The sequence below is a fragment of the Homo sapiens genome, chromosome 3, assembly GCF_000001405.40.
Source record: "Homo sapiens chromosome 3, GRCh38.p14 Primary Assembly".
Taxonomy (NCBI): Eukaryota; Metazoa; Chordata; class Mammalia; order Primates; family Hominidae; genus Homo; species Homo sapiens.
The window spans coordinates 27,193,101-27,209,136 of NC_000003.12; the positions used below are offsets into that span (position 1 = coordinate 27,193,101).

Here is a 16,036-nt window from a genome sequence, read left to right on the forward strand (position 1 = left end):
TGCATTGTAAAATTTCAATAAATTGAAAAGAAAATCCACACTTTTATGTATCCTCCATCCCTTCCTACATTTAACAAACACCAAGTCCTGTGACTTCTACTTTCTAAATATTTCTTGAATCCACATCCTTCCCCTGTAATCCCACAGCTATTTGGCTATTACAACGTCACTTACTTGGACTACTGAAAGAGTCTCCTAAATAACACACTCATTTCTTGCCTACCTCTGGTCTGTACTGTAAACTGCTAACCAGAATACTATTCCTAAATCTGACTATATTATTTCTCTACTCAAAATTCTTCAATAGTTCTCATGGTCCAATAGGATAAAATTAAAATTCCCAGAATGCTATACAAGGTCTCTCTTGAACTGGCCCTTAACTTCCTCCACTCTTTCCCCTCCTCCAGCAACACATCCAATGCGGCTACCTGCACTTCCCCAAATAGCACCTGTCTCTCCTATACCCCCATTTCTTTGCTTATTTTATTCCATATGCTTGATTTTTTTTTTTTTTTTTTTTTTTTTTGCCCATGGTATCTTATCTTTCCCAGCCATCATCTCAGCCATCATCTCTTATATACTTGCCAAAATCCCACTATTTTTCCAGGCTCCATTAGGAATACTTTTGGACTGCCTTCAGACAGATATCCTGAGCCCCTTTTGTACATTCTTTTTGCACCATTTGCACTTAAGTACTTAAAACTATTGTAATTATTTTACTATAATGGTCTGTTTCACCACTAGACTGGAAACTTCTAGAGAAGAGGGACATGTGTCCTCTTCACTATGATCTCCCAGCATATACAATGGAATCTGAGTCCTGATAGGTATTCAGCAAATGAACGAATGAATCAATGAATAAATCCACAAACAAACTCAGCGTAACATCTAAAAAGTTTACCTACCCATAACCCAAAATATTTGGCCATAGACTTTTGGATTCCCAGGAACATTTCCTACCAGAAGTTCCAGGATAGTCTCGTTGCTCTGAAATGACTCCCTGCTTAGGCATTTCAGAGAAATTCTTTTTTTTTTTTTTTTTTGAGACGGAGTCTCGCTCTGTCGCCCAGTCTGGAGTGCAGTGGCGCAGTCTCGGCTAACTGCAAGCTCCGCCTCCCGGGTTCAGGCCATTCTCCTGCCTCAGCCTCTCCTAGCAGCTGGGACTACAGGCGCCCGCCACCACGCCCGGCTAATTTTTTTGTATTTTTAGTAGAGACGGGGTTTCATCGTGGTCTCAATCTCCTGACCTTGTGATCCACCCACCTCGGCCTCCCAAAGTGCTGGGATTACAAGGGTGAGTCACCGCGCCCGGCCTCAGAGAAATTCTTAACAGCAACTGAATCAGAGTCATAATACATGCTAAAGATTGTCTACCAATGATTCTGTAAACAAATAAGCATAAAATCTGGTCCTAAAAAAATTGAGGATATTCTCACCTCATCCACTTTGTCCCCACTCCACTCTGAAAGGCCAGATGGAAAGAATTAGAAGGATACCTTATTCAATTACATTCATGTCATGTTTTAAGATACAAAGAATTGAAAGGGGTGAAAAATATAAAGATCCATTTGTCCTTGGAGCTAGCTGAAAGTATTAACTTTGTTAGTCCTCATGACTGCTTCTGAAGCAAAGCACCAGGCAGCTTATGCAACCAGGCACAGAGAAAGAAAAATAAGGCAATGATTTTAATAGAATATTTTATGCATAAAAGGAAATGTTCTTCCTTTTTAAAAAGTAAACAGACAATATTCTCTTAATAGTACACTAGTAGGTAAAAATAGTAATCCTAGTACCGAGCAGAACAAAAAAATATATTTATTTTCTTCCCCAAACTCCTCAGGGTTGCTAAGTTATTCTCCCAATTTGAAGGCCTGCTAGGAAAGACAAGTTTCAATAACAAATGTGCTTGTATACCACATGAGCAAACAGGAAAAAGGAAAGATGCTGCACATTAGAAATGCAAACTGTGTGAGCTCTACTTGACAAGGATGTGAAAAATAATGAGAAGATAGTAAAATAGAGGAAAGAAGATATATATGATTAGAAACAATATAATTTTTAGGAATGATTATAATAAACATTTCTGTCAAGAGCTGTCTTCTATTTCAAAGGCTCTATCAAATTACTAAAGATTGGCTGTGAGCCTGATCTTTTGCTGAGTCATAAATGATCATTAAGAATACTTGCCTTTATGTGTCCCTTGCATTGTTGCTTTAAGAAAATACAAAATTTGAGTTTGTTCCCTAATTCTTTCAGAACTCAATTTTTTAATACTGAAAATCCAAAGCAAATTAAATATGCAATTGCATATAATTCATGATTGATTTCAGTTTTAAGTCAAATTTTCTAAAGATAAAACTTTATTTGGAATGTAAACCCAGACAATGAGGAGTCTTAACTTTAAATGAAAATAAATTTATTACAGAATGCACCCTGCAATCTTAATTTATTATCAGATATAAAGTTGAATTGTCAGTTCTAACTTATTGTGGCATCTTAGTATTTTGAACCAAAAGCAACCTCAAATTGAGAAGCTCTTTCCCTCAGCAAAGCCTTCACAGATACTGGTCTGCGAAATGCTGCTTACTATTTGAGAGTTAATGAATGTTCCAGGTCTCAGATTACACGTCCTTTTTTCAGAGAAACTTTTCGCCAATTCCCAGAGTAAGACAGGTCCTTCTGTAATCTCTCATTGCCCCCTTTACCATTTTTCATCACATTTATCACAATTTGCTTTATAAACTTCATTCTGTACATAATACAATATCATTATTAATACTAATAATACCTAATTTTATAGAGTGCCTACCACTTGCTGGGTACTGCGTTAAGTGGGTCAGAAGCACTATCTTATTTAAGCTTTAAAACAAGCCCATGAAGTTAAGGGAGGAGACCACCCTCATATTGTCTTATGCCCGATTTCTGCCTCCAAAGAAAGAAGTAAAAACTAAAAGGTAGAAATGGAATCCACAGGCAAATAGCCCAGCACTGTGCCCTGGACCTGTTAGTTAAAAATCAACCCCTGACCTAACTGCTTGTGTTATCTATAAATTTCAGACATTGCATGGAAAAGCATCATGAAAATCCCTGTCCTGTTCTGCTCTGTTCTGATTACCAGTGGATGCAGCCCCCAGTCAAGTACCCCCTGCCTGCTCAATTGATCACGATCCTTTCACACAGACCCCCTTAGAGTTGTAAGCCCTTAAAAGGGACAGGAACTGCTCACTCAGGGAGCTCAGTTTTTGGAGACGTGAGTCTGCCGGTGCTCCCAGCTGAATAAAGCCCTTTCCTTCTACAACTCAGCATCTGAGGGGTTCTTGCCTGTGGCTCGTCCTGCTACAAAGTAATTACTACTGCTACCCACACATCATAGATGAGAAAATTGGGCCTCAGGGAAATTAAATTGAGTGGAAGAGGGGGCATTAGAATCTAGTTGACTCCAGAACTTGGTGACGCTCTAAACCTTTACACTCCAATGTTGCTATCTGACTCCCCTACTAGTATGTTAACCCCAAGAGTCCTGGGTAGCCATAGCCAGGGTCTATTAGTTTCAGAAGAGATTTACAGTCTATTTGCCCAGATTCACAAAATCAAAGCAACGTCTCTGAACCTTGTTATTTGCGCTACCTTTCCCTCGCCCTTTGTGGCACTCAAATACCTATTAAAAGGAGAAATTAAATGAGCAAATATGGTACTTTTGTCTTGACACCTCTGACGACTCTGTCAATTTTTAATGTACTTTCCAAAAAACAACAGACAACAGGAACAAATCACAGAGATGAGCAGTTTAAATATATTTGGATTCATTAGCAACAAGGCATGATCCAGTGTTTGTGGAATCAAATGATTTAAAGACAGGTTCGTCTCATTTCCCATAATACTAACCATGATGATTGCCAAAATTGCTCAAGTATTTACCATTCTGCAAGCCCTATCCTAAGTGATTTGCATATGTTACTTTGTGTAATCATCACATCAGCCTAATGAGACTGGTACTATTATGATTCTCATTCTACTAGATCAGAAAACAGGGACGCAGAAATAATGGTCAAATCACTCTTTTTTTTTATTTTTATTTAAAAAAATTTTTTTGAGATGGAGTTTTGCTCTTTTCACCCAGGCTAGAGTGCAACGGCTCAATCTCAGCTCATTGCAACCTCCACTTCCCAGATTCAGGTGATTCTCCTGCCTCAGCCTCCCGAGTAGCTGGAATTACAGGCGCACACCACCAGGCCTGGCTAATTTTTGTATTTTTAATAGAGATGGGGTTTCACCATGTTGGCCAGGCTGGTCTCAAACACCTGACCTCAGGTGATCTGCCTGCCTCAGCCTCCCAAAGTGCTGGTATCACAGGTGTGAGCCACCGCACCTGGCCTCAAATCACTTCTTAGAGTTTGCAACTGTTTACATGACTTAGCCCCAGGTAGGCCTGTCTTCAGAGCCTGAGGCCTTAAGACTGTAGATTTCGGCTTCACTGTTGTTATATAGAAATGCTAGTGATTTTTGCACATTGGTTTTGTATCCTGCAACTTCGCTGAAGTTGTTTATAAGCTTAAGGAGTTTTTGAGCCAATACTATTGGGTTTTCTAGATACAGGATAATGTCATCTGCAAACAGGGATAGTTTGACTTCTTCTCTTCCTATATGGATGCCCTTTCTTTCCCTTGCCTGACTGCTCTGACCAGTACTTTCTTTCTTTTTTTTTTTTTATTATACTTCAAGTTTTAGGGTACATGTGCACAACGTGCAGGTTAGTTACATACGTATACATGTGCCATATTGGTGTGCTGCACCCATTAACTCGTCAATACTATGTTGAAGTATTGTCTTGTGCTGATTTTCAAGAGAAATGCTTCCAGCTCTTGCCCATTCAGTATAACATCGGCTGTGGGTCAAGCCAAGAGCCAGATCAGGCATGCAATCCCATTTACAATTGCCAAAAAAAGAATAAAATACCTAGGAATACAGCTAACCAGTAAAAGAGCTTTACAGAGAGAACTAGAAAACACTGCTCAAAGAAATCAGAGATGACACAAACAAATGGAAAAATACCCCATGCTCACAGATAGAAAGAATCAATACCATTAAAATGACAATACTGCCCAAAGCAACTTGTAGATTCAATGCTATTCTTATCAAACTACCAGTGACATTCTTCACACCACTAAAAAAAGGATTTTAAATTTACATGGAACCAAAAGAGCAACTGAATAGCCAAGACAATCCTAAGCAAAAAAAAAAAAAAACAAAGCTTGAGTCATCATGCTACCTGACTTCAAACTATACTACAGGGCTACAGTAACCAAAACAGCATGGTATTGATACAAAAACAGACACATAGACCAATGGAACAGAAAAGAGAACCCAGAAATAAGGCTGCACACGTACAACCACCATCTGATCTTCAACAAACCTGACAAAAACAAGCAATGGGGGAAAGATTCCCTATGTAACAAATGGTGCTGGGATAACTGGCTAGCCAGTTGCAGAAAACTGAAAATGAACTCCTTTACAAAAATCTGAACTGAACCCCATATACAAAAATCAACTCAAGACAGATTAAAGACTTAAATGTGAAACCCAAAACTATAAAAACCCTGGAAGACAACCTAGGCAATACCATTCAGAACATAGGCACAGGCAAAGATTTCATGACAAAGATACCAAAAGCAAAAATTGACAAGTTGGGGGCCAGGTGCGGTGACTCACGACTGTAATCCCAGCACTTTGGGAGGCCGAGGCGTGTAGATCATGAGGTCAGGAGATAGAGACCATCCTGGCTAACACCGTGAAACCCGTCTCTACTAAAAATACAAAAAGAAATTAGCCAGGTGTGGTGGCACAGGCCTACAGTCCCAGCTACTCAGGAGGCTGAGGCAGGAGAATCGCTTGAACCTGGGAGGTGGAGGTTGCAGTGAGCCGAGATCACACCACTGCACTCCAGCCTGGGCGACAGAGCAAGACTCCATCTCAAAAAAAAAAAAAAACAAAAAAAGACAAAATTGACAAGTGGGATTTAATTAAACTAAAGAGCTTCTGCACAGCAAAGGATACTATCAACAGAGTAAACAGACAATCTACAGAACAGAAGAAAATTTTTGCAAACTATGCACCTGACAAAGGTCTAATATGCAGTTTCTATAAGGAACTTAAGCAAATTTACAAGAGAAAAACAACCCCATTAAAAAGTGGGCAAAGAACATGAACAGACACTTCACAAAAGAAGGCATACATGTAGCCAACAAGCATGAAATAAAGCTCAACATTACTGATCATTACATAAATGCAAATCAAAATCACAATGAGATACCATCTTATACCAGTCAGAATGGCTATTATTAAAAAGTCAAAAAATAACAGATGCTGGAAAGGTTCAGCGAAAAAGGAACACTTATGCACTGTTGGTGGGAGTGTAAATTAGTTCTACCATTGTGGAAAACAATGTGTAGTGATTCCCCAAAGACATAAAAACAGAACTACCATTCAACCCAGCAATCCCATTACTGGCTCTATACCTAAAGGAATACGAATCATTCTATCATAAAAACACATGCACACATATGTTCATTGCAGCACTATTCACAATAGCAAAGACATGGAATCAACATAAATGCCCATAAATTCTAGGCTGGATAAAGAAAATATGGTATATACACACCATGGAATACTATGTAGCCATAAAAAGCAACAACATCATGTCTTTTGTAGGAACATGGCTGGAGCTGGAGGCCATTATCCTTAGCAAACTAATGCAGGAACAGAAAACCAAATACTACATGTTTTCACTTGTAAGTGGGAGCTAAATGATGAGAACACCTGGATCCATAAAGGGGAACAGCAGACACTGGGAGTTATTGGATGGTGGAGGGCAGGAGGAAGGAGAGCATCAGGAAAAATAGCTATTGGGCACTAGGCTTAATAGCTGGGTGATGAAACAATCTATACAACAAACCCCCATGACACAAGTTTACCTTGTATAACAAACCTGCACATGTACCTCTGAACTTAAAAATTTTAAAAAAATCAATTAAAAAAATAAGACTGTAGATTAGTATTGTGCCAAAGAAAGAAAGGTTTAGATATCATCCTACAAAAACAGGTGAGGAGTAATATTAGCACAAACAATGGGCTAGAAGGATAAATCAAAGGGAAAGGGGTACAGCCACAATAATACATCTATTATAGTTCATCAGAGATGGGGCTAAGTGCTAGTATAGATACCAACCCAAGTTTTAAAAGACTCAGAAGGCAGATGAAAAAAGATTCTATCTGGGGTGACTCTAGAATTTCTACAATCCAAAATACTCAGTTTGATGGGATGGAGAAATCCCATCAACTTAAGTACCCAACTTAAGTACTCAAGATGCAACTTAAGTACCCAAGATGGTACAGAAATAGCAATCAGCCAGATACACGAGTCATTTATTCATACAAGCAATATTTATTAAGGGTCTACTCTGTGCCAGCCACTGCTTTGGGCAATAAAAGCTACAAATTAACTGACTAAGTCCCTGCTCTTGAGTTTCCATTTTGGTGGGGAAGAGACAGACGATAAACAAAACTCATGTATGCACATGTATAATATGTCAGGGATGATGAGTGCTGTGAGCTTTTTAAAGCAGGCAAGGAGGTTAGAGAGTACTGTGAGGTAGTGGGGCCATCAGGGTGGGGAACATTTTAGCAGAGACCCAGAGGAAGTGAGGGCCTGTGTCACACATATATCTGAGGAAAGAGAGTTCTAGGAAACCATGAAAGCAAGGGCAAAAGTCTAGAAGGAGGGTGCATGCCAGGACTAGTGGGAAGCACCATGTGGCTGGAGCAGAGAAAACAGAAGGGGAAGTGGGAGGGAGCATGGGTGACAGGCCAGCAGGGATTGGCCAAAACTTTGGAAGTACAACTAAATAATGACTTTCATTAAACTCCTGCTATAGTGATAGCTGGAGCTCCTGATTCTCTATGAAAAATTATGATAAATCACATTATCAGTTTAAAAATGGAAATTAAAAAGTACCTGCAACTTTATCATCTAACATGGCTTTTTGTTTCATGTGTTCTTGTCTGGCCTTTTTCCAATTTTTTGCATATTTTTATGAGGTTTGTCATGGTTACAAACAGCTTTACATCATATTTGTCTTACCCACATATCATAATGTGTTTTACAGGTTGTTACAAACCCTTCCAAATAATCGTTCTAGTGGTTGCATAATAAGTGAACGCTCTACTTCCTCTTGGACACTTAAGTAGCATCCAAATAGTCACTGTTACTGATGATGCACAAACATCTTTCTAGATTTGGATTATGTAGGGACTCTTTCTCTTCATGACCTTTTATCCATAAATAGTGATTTATTATAGAAATGAGGTATTTCTTGATTGTCCCTACATGTCTGAAGCCGCAAGACTAATTACCTGCTGATGGTGTCTGTTACTTTTTCAGAGTAGATACCTTCTGGGACTGGTTCATATACCGCCTCCACTATCTGCAAAACAAACAGACTAGAGTGATGGAAGTAAAGGGGCCACGGATGTCTTTGAATAGTTAATACTTGACCATAACCTGAGAGTTACTAATTAAGCAGGATAACTTCACACATAAATTTTAGTCAGAAATCCCGACCAAATAAAACATTTGCATCAATTAAACAGCTCTTGAACTGGAATTATATTATCCAAGCTGAGTTAAAAATTAACCTTAGATTCATAATAAAATGGTGTATGGGATAATATAAGGTGCTGGATTGTGAGTAGTCCAGACTGCAATTAAAAATAAAAGACCAGCTGGGCGCAGTGGCTCACGTCTATAATCCCAGCAGTTTGGGAGGCCAAGGTGGGTGGATTACCTGAGGTCAGGAGTTCAAGACCAGCCTGGCCAACATGGTGAAACCTAAAAAAAAAAATAAAAAATTCGGGCATGGTGGCACATACCTGTAATCCCAGCTACTCAGGAGGCTGAGGCAGGAGAATTGCTTGAGCCCAGGAGGCGGAGGTTGCAGTGAGCCAAGATCATGTCACTGCACGCCAGCCTGGCTGACAGAGTGAGACTCTGTCTCAAAAATAAATAAATTAAATAAATAAATAATAGAAGACCAAACGTCTTTTTAAAAATAATTTTGTATTATAAATAAAGACAATTATAGAGGGAAATAAGCCATTACATGAGATATATATTTAGAAGAAAGCGGAAAAAATAAACTGGATCATGCAGTTAATAAAAACAATTCTTGCTTTTAATGGGCAGTTATATACAAATCACAAAGATCTGTTTAATAAGAAAAAGAATTGCATTTTTAGCTACACGAGACCCTTCTGTCTCCCAGCGTTGCTTACTTTTGTAGCCAAGGACAGCATGTTAGTGCTGTAGAAGGGGGGACTCAAAGTCGCCATCTGATAAAGGATGCAGCCTACTGCCCAGACATCAGCCTTCTCCCCATACGGCTCACTCTTCAGTACCTCGGGGCTGAAGTAAAATAAGGACATTAATACATGCTAAGGAAGGGAGAATCCGCTCAGAAAGATCCAATTTTCAAGCTTTATTGGAGTTATTTTTTAAGTATCTGAAATGTTTAACTTAATCACTATTTCAGGAAAGGATATCAAAAAGTCTGTTTGAAATTTCCCAGCCTTAGATGAACCAGGAAGCATATCAATTCCAGCTTAAGCACTAAATACCAGTAACTCATATAAGTATCACCTAGTATGCATCCAAGGGTGTTTATTTCCAGAAAGAGCAAGCCCACTGTGGTAGATGGAGTTGCTGGCCCCAGTTCTTTGCTGCTCTGGGAGCTTCTGTACATCCCATCCTTGTGGTAGCCTCTTCTGGGCAGTGCTCATCATCCATTCCTGCTTTTGGCTTTGACTGTGTTTTCTTCCTTTGACCACCAATGGAATGTGGAAGTGACAATAACCTGATTAGAGCCTCAGTCTGAACAGGTACTGAGGGCTTCCATTTATCCTTCTAGGAGCTTCGGTCCACTACCAGAGGAAGAATGTGTAACAGGTAGCTTCCACCCTTGCAGCCTGGGCCCAGCATAAGACACACAGAACCAGTCTGCCCCCAGACAACCCATATACCAACAGGGTGCAGGAGAACTAGCCTAGCAGGCTCACATACCTGTGACTCTGAAGTTGAATGCCACTGAGACTTTGTGGTGACTAATGATAAGGTGTTAATTTGGAAAAAAACTGACTGATAGAGCCTTTCCCTTTGCTATTCAGCTCTAGCATATAAAGTAGGGGGAAGACCATATTTAAATATGTTGCGGGAAATGACAATATCTACCATGTTCACTGCTTCTGAAATTGCCACACAATTTAAACAACATTTAAATAATTTGCAACGGTTCATGAATCTATTTTTTAATTTAATTAGATTTAATTTTTGTGAAGGCGAGTGTAGTTCCCTTGAACATTTTGTACTAATAGAAGCTTCCTCTAACATATATGTACACTAAAAAACAGAGTACTAAAAGTACTCAACACACACACACCCTAAATTAAGTAGCTTGCTAATTCAGTTCCATAATAAGTACTTGGGTCTGGCCTCAGTACTCTAATGGAGTAAAGATTAATATAGTTAGCTTTGACAATGGCTAAGGTATAAAGAAATTTATAAATTGGCATCAAAACAATCAAGACAGGTATACATCAGTATTGACTTAAAAATAATCAACAAATTACTGTTCTTGAGAGGAAGAAGAATTCCTAGTTTAAGATTTATAGTATGTATTTGCAAAGAAAAGTATGATTTCTAGGTCTATCAGTTAAGCATTTTCATATTTAGTGTTTTTCAGTTCAATAATACGGAAATGGGGGAATTGGGGCTGAGACTTCCGCAGGGCTCTGCGGTTCTAAATGTACAAAAAGTATTCCCTGCCATCCCTTTATCAACTGCTCATGTTAAAAAAAAAATGCTTTAACAAGAAGAAAACATGCTCAACACAGAAAATGTCTTTGGCTCCCCACAGACAAATTTCTCATATTCTCATCTACTGAGATCTCAGAAGATTTGCTTCATATTTCCAAAAGATCACAAAGCACAAGCTGTGAGTGTTCCACCCATATCCCCTCAAATCCCTTTTGCATTTCCTATCTTTGGTGTGCTTTCACTCCCCACAGCCAGCACCTGCACTTGTTTGGAGGACAGCTTTCCATTTTCTCCTCAAAAGATAAATTTTCTTTTTTTTTTTTTTTTTTTGTTGTTGTTTTTTTTTTTTTTTTTTTTATTATACTTTAAGTTTTAGGGTACATGTGCACATTGTGCAGGTTAGTTACATATGTATACATGTGCCATGCTGGTGCGCTGCACCCACTAACTCGTCATCTAGCATTAGGTATATCTCCCAATGCTATCCCTCCCCCCTCCCCCCACCCCACCACAGTCCCCAGAGTGTGATATTCCCCTTCCTGTGTCCCTGTGATCTCATTGTTCAGTTCCCACCTATGAGTGAGAATATGCAGTGTTTGGTTTTTTGTTCTTGCGATAGTTTACTGAGAATGATGATTTCCAATTTCATCCATGTCCCTACAAAGGACATGAACTCATCATTTTTTATGGCTGCATAGTATTCCATGGTGTATATGTGCCACATTTTCTTAATCCAGTCTATCATTGTTGGACATTTGGGTTGGTTCCAAGTCTTTGCTATTGTGAATGATGCCGCAATAAACACACGTGTGCATGTGTCTTTATAGCAGCATGATTTATAGTCATTTGGGTATATACCCAGTAATGGGATGGCTGGGTCAAATGGTATTTCTAGTTCTAGATCCCTGAGGAATCGCCACACTGACTTCCACAATGGTTGAACTAGTTTACAGTCCCACCAACAGTGTAAAAGTGTTCCTATTTCTCCACATCCTCTCCAGCACCTGTTGTTTCCTGACTTTTTAATGATTGCCATTCTAACTGGTGTGAGATGGTATCTCATAGTGGTTTTGATTTGCATTTCTCTGATGGCTAGTGATGATGAGCATTTTTTCATGTGTTTTTAGGCTGCATAAATGTCTTCTTTTGAGAAGTGTCTGTTCATGTCCTTCGCCCACTTTTTGATGGGGTTGAAGGACCTCTTCAAGGAGAACTACAAACCACTGCTCAAGGAAATAAAAGAGGATACAAACAAATGGATAAACATTCCATGCTCATGGGTAGGAAGAATCAATATCGTGAAAATGGCCATACTGCCCAAGGTAATTTACAGATTCAATGCCATCCCCATCAAGCTACCAATGACTTTCTTCACAGAATTGGAAAAAACTACTTTAAAGTTCATATGGAACCAAAAAAGAGCCCGCATCGCCAAGTCAATCCTAAGCCAAAAGAACAAAGCTGGAGGCATCACACTACCTGACTTCAAACTATACTACAAGGCTACAGTAACCAAAACAGCATGGTACTGGTACCAAAACAGAGATATAGATCAATGGAACAGAACAGAGCCCTCAGAAATAATGCCGCATACCTACAACTATCTGATCTTTGACAAACCTGAGAAAAACAAGCAATGTGGAAAGGATTCCCTATTTAATAAATGGTGCTGGGAAAACTGGATAGCCATATGTAGAAAGCTGAAACTGGATCCCTTCCTTACACCTTATACAAAAATCAATTCAAGATGGATTAAAGATTTAAACGTTAGACCTAAAACCATAAAAACCCTAGAAGAAAACCTAGGCATTACCATTCAGGACATAGGCATGGGCAAGGACTTCATGTCCAAAACACCAAAAGCAATGGCAACAAAAGACAAAATTGACAAATGGGATCTAATTAAACTAAAGAGCTTCTGCACAGCAAAAGAAACTACCATCAGAGTGAACAGGCAACCTACAAAATGGGAGAAAATTTTCGCAACCTACTCATCTGACAAAGGGCTAATATCCAGAATCTACAATGAACTCAAACAAATTTACAAGAAAAAAAGATAAATTTTCAATGTCTCTTTTATAAGGGCACTAATCCCATTGGTGAGGGCAGAGCCCTCATGACCTAATCACCTACCACAGGCCACATTTTCTAATACCATCACGTTGCAGATTAGGATTTCAGTATAAGAATTTTAGAGAGACACAAGCATTCAGTTTGTAGCAGACTTTCCTCTTGAAACACTGCTATGTTTTTCACTCAGCCAGTAAACATGACTAAGCACTAGTGACTAGTAGAAGTACTAGTCACTCTTCTACCTGCTTGGAATCTGTTCTCATGGGGCTCACTTTCTAGTAAGGGACAGGAGGCAGAGAAGATATAAAATAAAACACAAGAAAATAACTTAAAAGTAAATGATGTTGTATTTTAATAAGTGAAAAATGCTATAGGAAAATAAACTCGACTAGAATAAAGGAGGTCTGGAGAGGAGGTAAGGTGGCAAGTTGCAATATTAGAAAAAATGGTTCCTTCCTCCCTCTCAGATACCATATAATGACCCTTCAGTGGCTTCCTCCTTCATTCACTCATTCATCTTCTCTTCATACTTTACTCTCTCCTTGGATAATTTCATTCACATCCAAGTCTTCCATTGAAACCATATGCTGGTAACTCGCAGACCTAATTTCCATTCTTCAAGCCCCTCAAGTGCGCACAGAGATGAAGGCTCTGTTACAAACCACTGACGAAAATAGGGTTAAAGCAGTGGACTCTAAACAATTTGCCTATTTTATAAATTAGAGTGGAGAACTCATCCCAAGTCAACAATGTTTATTTTCTTGAATTTCAAGCACTGTTTCTGAGGTGTACAAAACAACCCTGCAGGACAAAGGCCTGAGCATCTGCAACAGGAAGATAGCTCCCTGGGAGATATCTTAAAGCCCTGGGCCTGTGACTGTCTTTGCCCCCACATGACTTCCTGGGAAACATTTCTATTTATTTTTCTACTTCCACTTCTGCTGCCATTTGCACTTCAAACCTAGTCACTTCAAGCAATCCTTTTAAATATGTGTGTGTGCTATGGGAGCTTTTTCTTAATCTGCAAGACTCCAGGGTGACTACTCTGCATCCCAGGGAACCTTTCTGATGTCAAGAGCTAATGTTTCCAGGACATCTGCTGGCTTCAGATTTGCCCCTAATTCCTGGTGTGTCCAGCATTACCACATTAGCAGTTAAATTTATCCTCTAAATGCTAGTTCTTTCCTCAAAAGATAAGATGATAATATTTGACAACTAAGGGTTTATAAGAACTAGCTTATTTTCACCACTAATGAGCTGAAAGAAATACTAGGGCACAGGTATGAGAAATTGAAGAAGAAATTAAAACCTTAAGAGAAATTGAAAAACTATCATTGAAGAAGTAACTCATTGACAATATAATGATATAGCATCTTGGAAACAATGACATTTAGAGATGTCATAAAAGAAAATGTTCCCTTAATAAGTGTTAGAAAATATTAATAAAAGAATCTCAAGGAGTTTGGGACACAGTGAGGGCTAAATTGTTTGAAGACTATTACGAAGTCTATTTTAGAAATAAATAAAAATAGACTTACTACTGTAAGTCTATCTTATTGAAGTTATTTATCCAATAATATTTGCTTCACTAGGTAAAGAGAGAAAAGGGATTTCTGCATCCCACTGCAATGTGTTAATTCTGAGTCTATTAAAAAGTACATTTAGTTCTCAGGTATTGGCTATCACACCTTCATCTCCCGGGAGTACCTTAAATACAAAGGAGAAAGAGAACTAACTTATCACTGTTACTGAAAAAAGAACATAAACCTTCTGTCTGAAGGTTTAAGATCCACTATTTGTGCACTCAAGGAGGCAAAACTCTATCTAAACTCATGAGGATAAAATTCTGACCTGAGGTGACATAATTAAGTCTGTGTGCCAGTAAGTACCATTTATTTAGACTGAAAATCAAATGATGCTCTAATTATAATTCATTGTACAGCATGTAGCAATATAGGATGAATAAAATGTGTGTGTGTGTATTTTTGTGTGTATGCATGTATTGTGGATGTCTGTGTGTTTGTATGTGTATGTGAATGTTTGTGTGCATGTCCATGGATATTTATGGTTGCTGAAGGTTGGTAAACCGTTGCCGAGAAATGGCTCAAAAAACCATCACTATGGTACGATAGGAGTTAATGAGAACTAATGAGGGTGCGGAAACTTGGAAAAACCATGGGGATATAAATCTCGGTGCATTTTCTGGAAAAAGTGAGCAACATAATATTCAGATATATGGTGAGATAAGCATAGCTTAGCAGAGAAGACACTAGGCAGAATCATGAATGTAGAGAGATCCATCCATGCCTTGATCTTCTTCTATGAGGTCCTACTTATTATAAGCACTTAATAGCATTGATAAAATATAACCTCGTCCCACAAGGGCCATAAAAATTAAAGAGCACCCTGATCGGCCTTATGGCATTCTCCACTATGGAGGAGTAAAGGGATTGAGCCAGAAAAGAGACTGGAAGCCTGGACAAGCCCACTAATGTGGTGATCAGGGAAATGAGAAGATGAAAGCCACAGGACTTCAGAATTGATTGGATGTGGGGAAGAGAAAAAGAGAAGGGAAAGATGATCCCCTCCTTCTCTAGGATCCCAAGTATTTGGTTCTGGTGACTAAATGGGTATAAGAGTCATTAACACAGATACAGGGGGAGCAGATGTGCAGGAAGAAATGACATCAATTTGGAATATATTAATTCATGTATGTCTGCAAGATCCACAATTGGGGATATTCAATGGGCAACATCATTCCAGATGTGAAGAGTCTCTCAAAACCTTATCCTCAGAGCATGTGCTGTCTATAAGCCTGGCATCACGGAAATGTTCTCAGCTCACAGATGACTACTGCCGTTACGCAGTTAGTTAAAAAGATTTGATACCTAAACAGCTCTAACTTTTCTGAACACAAACCTCTTACAGAGAGACAAGAGAATTAGATGACACATTCAAGAGCTGTGGAATAATATACTATGCCACTAAAAGAAATTGGCACACCTTTAACACAAATTTGAGAGCCTGCCTGCTTTTGGACGGCATCCAGCATTGACAGCTTTATCCACTAAAAAATAGGACAGCCAGTTAAATTTGAAT

The 16,036-nt window shown here is 38.9% G+C and overlaps 1 protein-coding gene across 27 annotated transcripts in view; it reads right to left on the reverse strand.

Moving 5' to 3' along the window:
• NEK10 (NIMA related kinase 10) overlaps positions 1-16,036 on the reverse strand; it is a 262,900-nt gene that overhangs the window by 86,617 nt on the left and 160,247 nt on the right. For 25 of the 27 annotated variants that reach the window (XR_001740034.2, XM_047447506.1, NM_001394967.1 and 22 more), the window contains 2 exons: positions 9,328-9,457; positions 8,410-8,480 (listed from right to left, as the gene is read on the reverse strand). The exons of 1 other annotated variant lie outside the window; for it this stretch is intronic. Coding sequence is in view for 25 of the 26 variants with exons in the window: in XM_047447506.1 (XP_047303462.1) it covers positions 8,410-8,480; positions 9,328-9,457 (201 nt within the window). In the remaining variant the exon portion in view is untranslated. Of the gene's footprint in view, positions 1-8,409; positions 8,481-9,327; positions 9,458-16,036 lie in introns of those variants that run through there. One more of the 27 variants, XM_011533414.3, reaches the window with a different exon arrangement.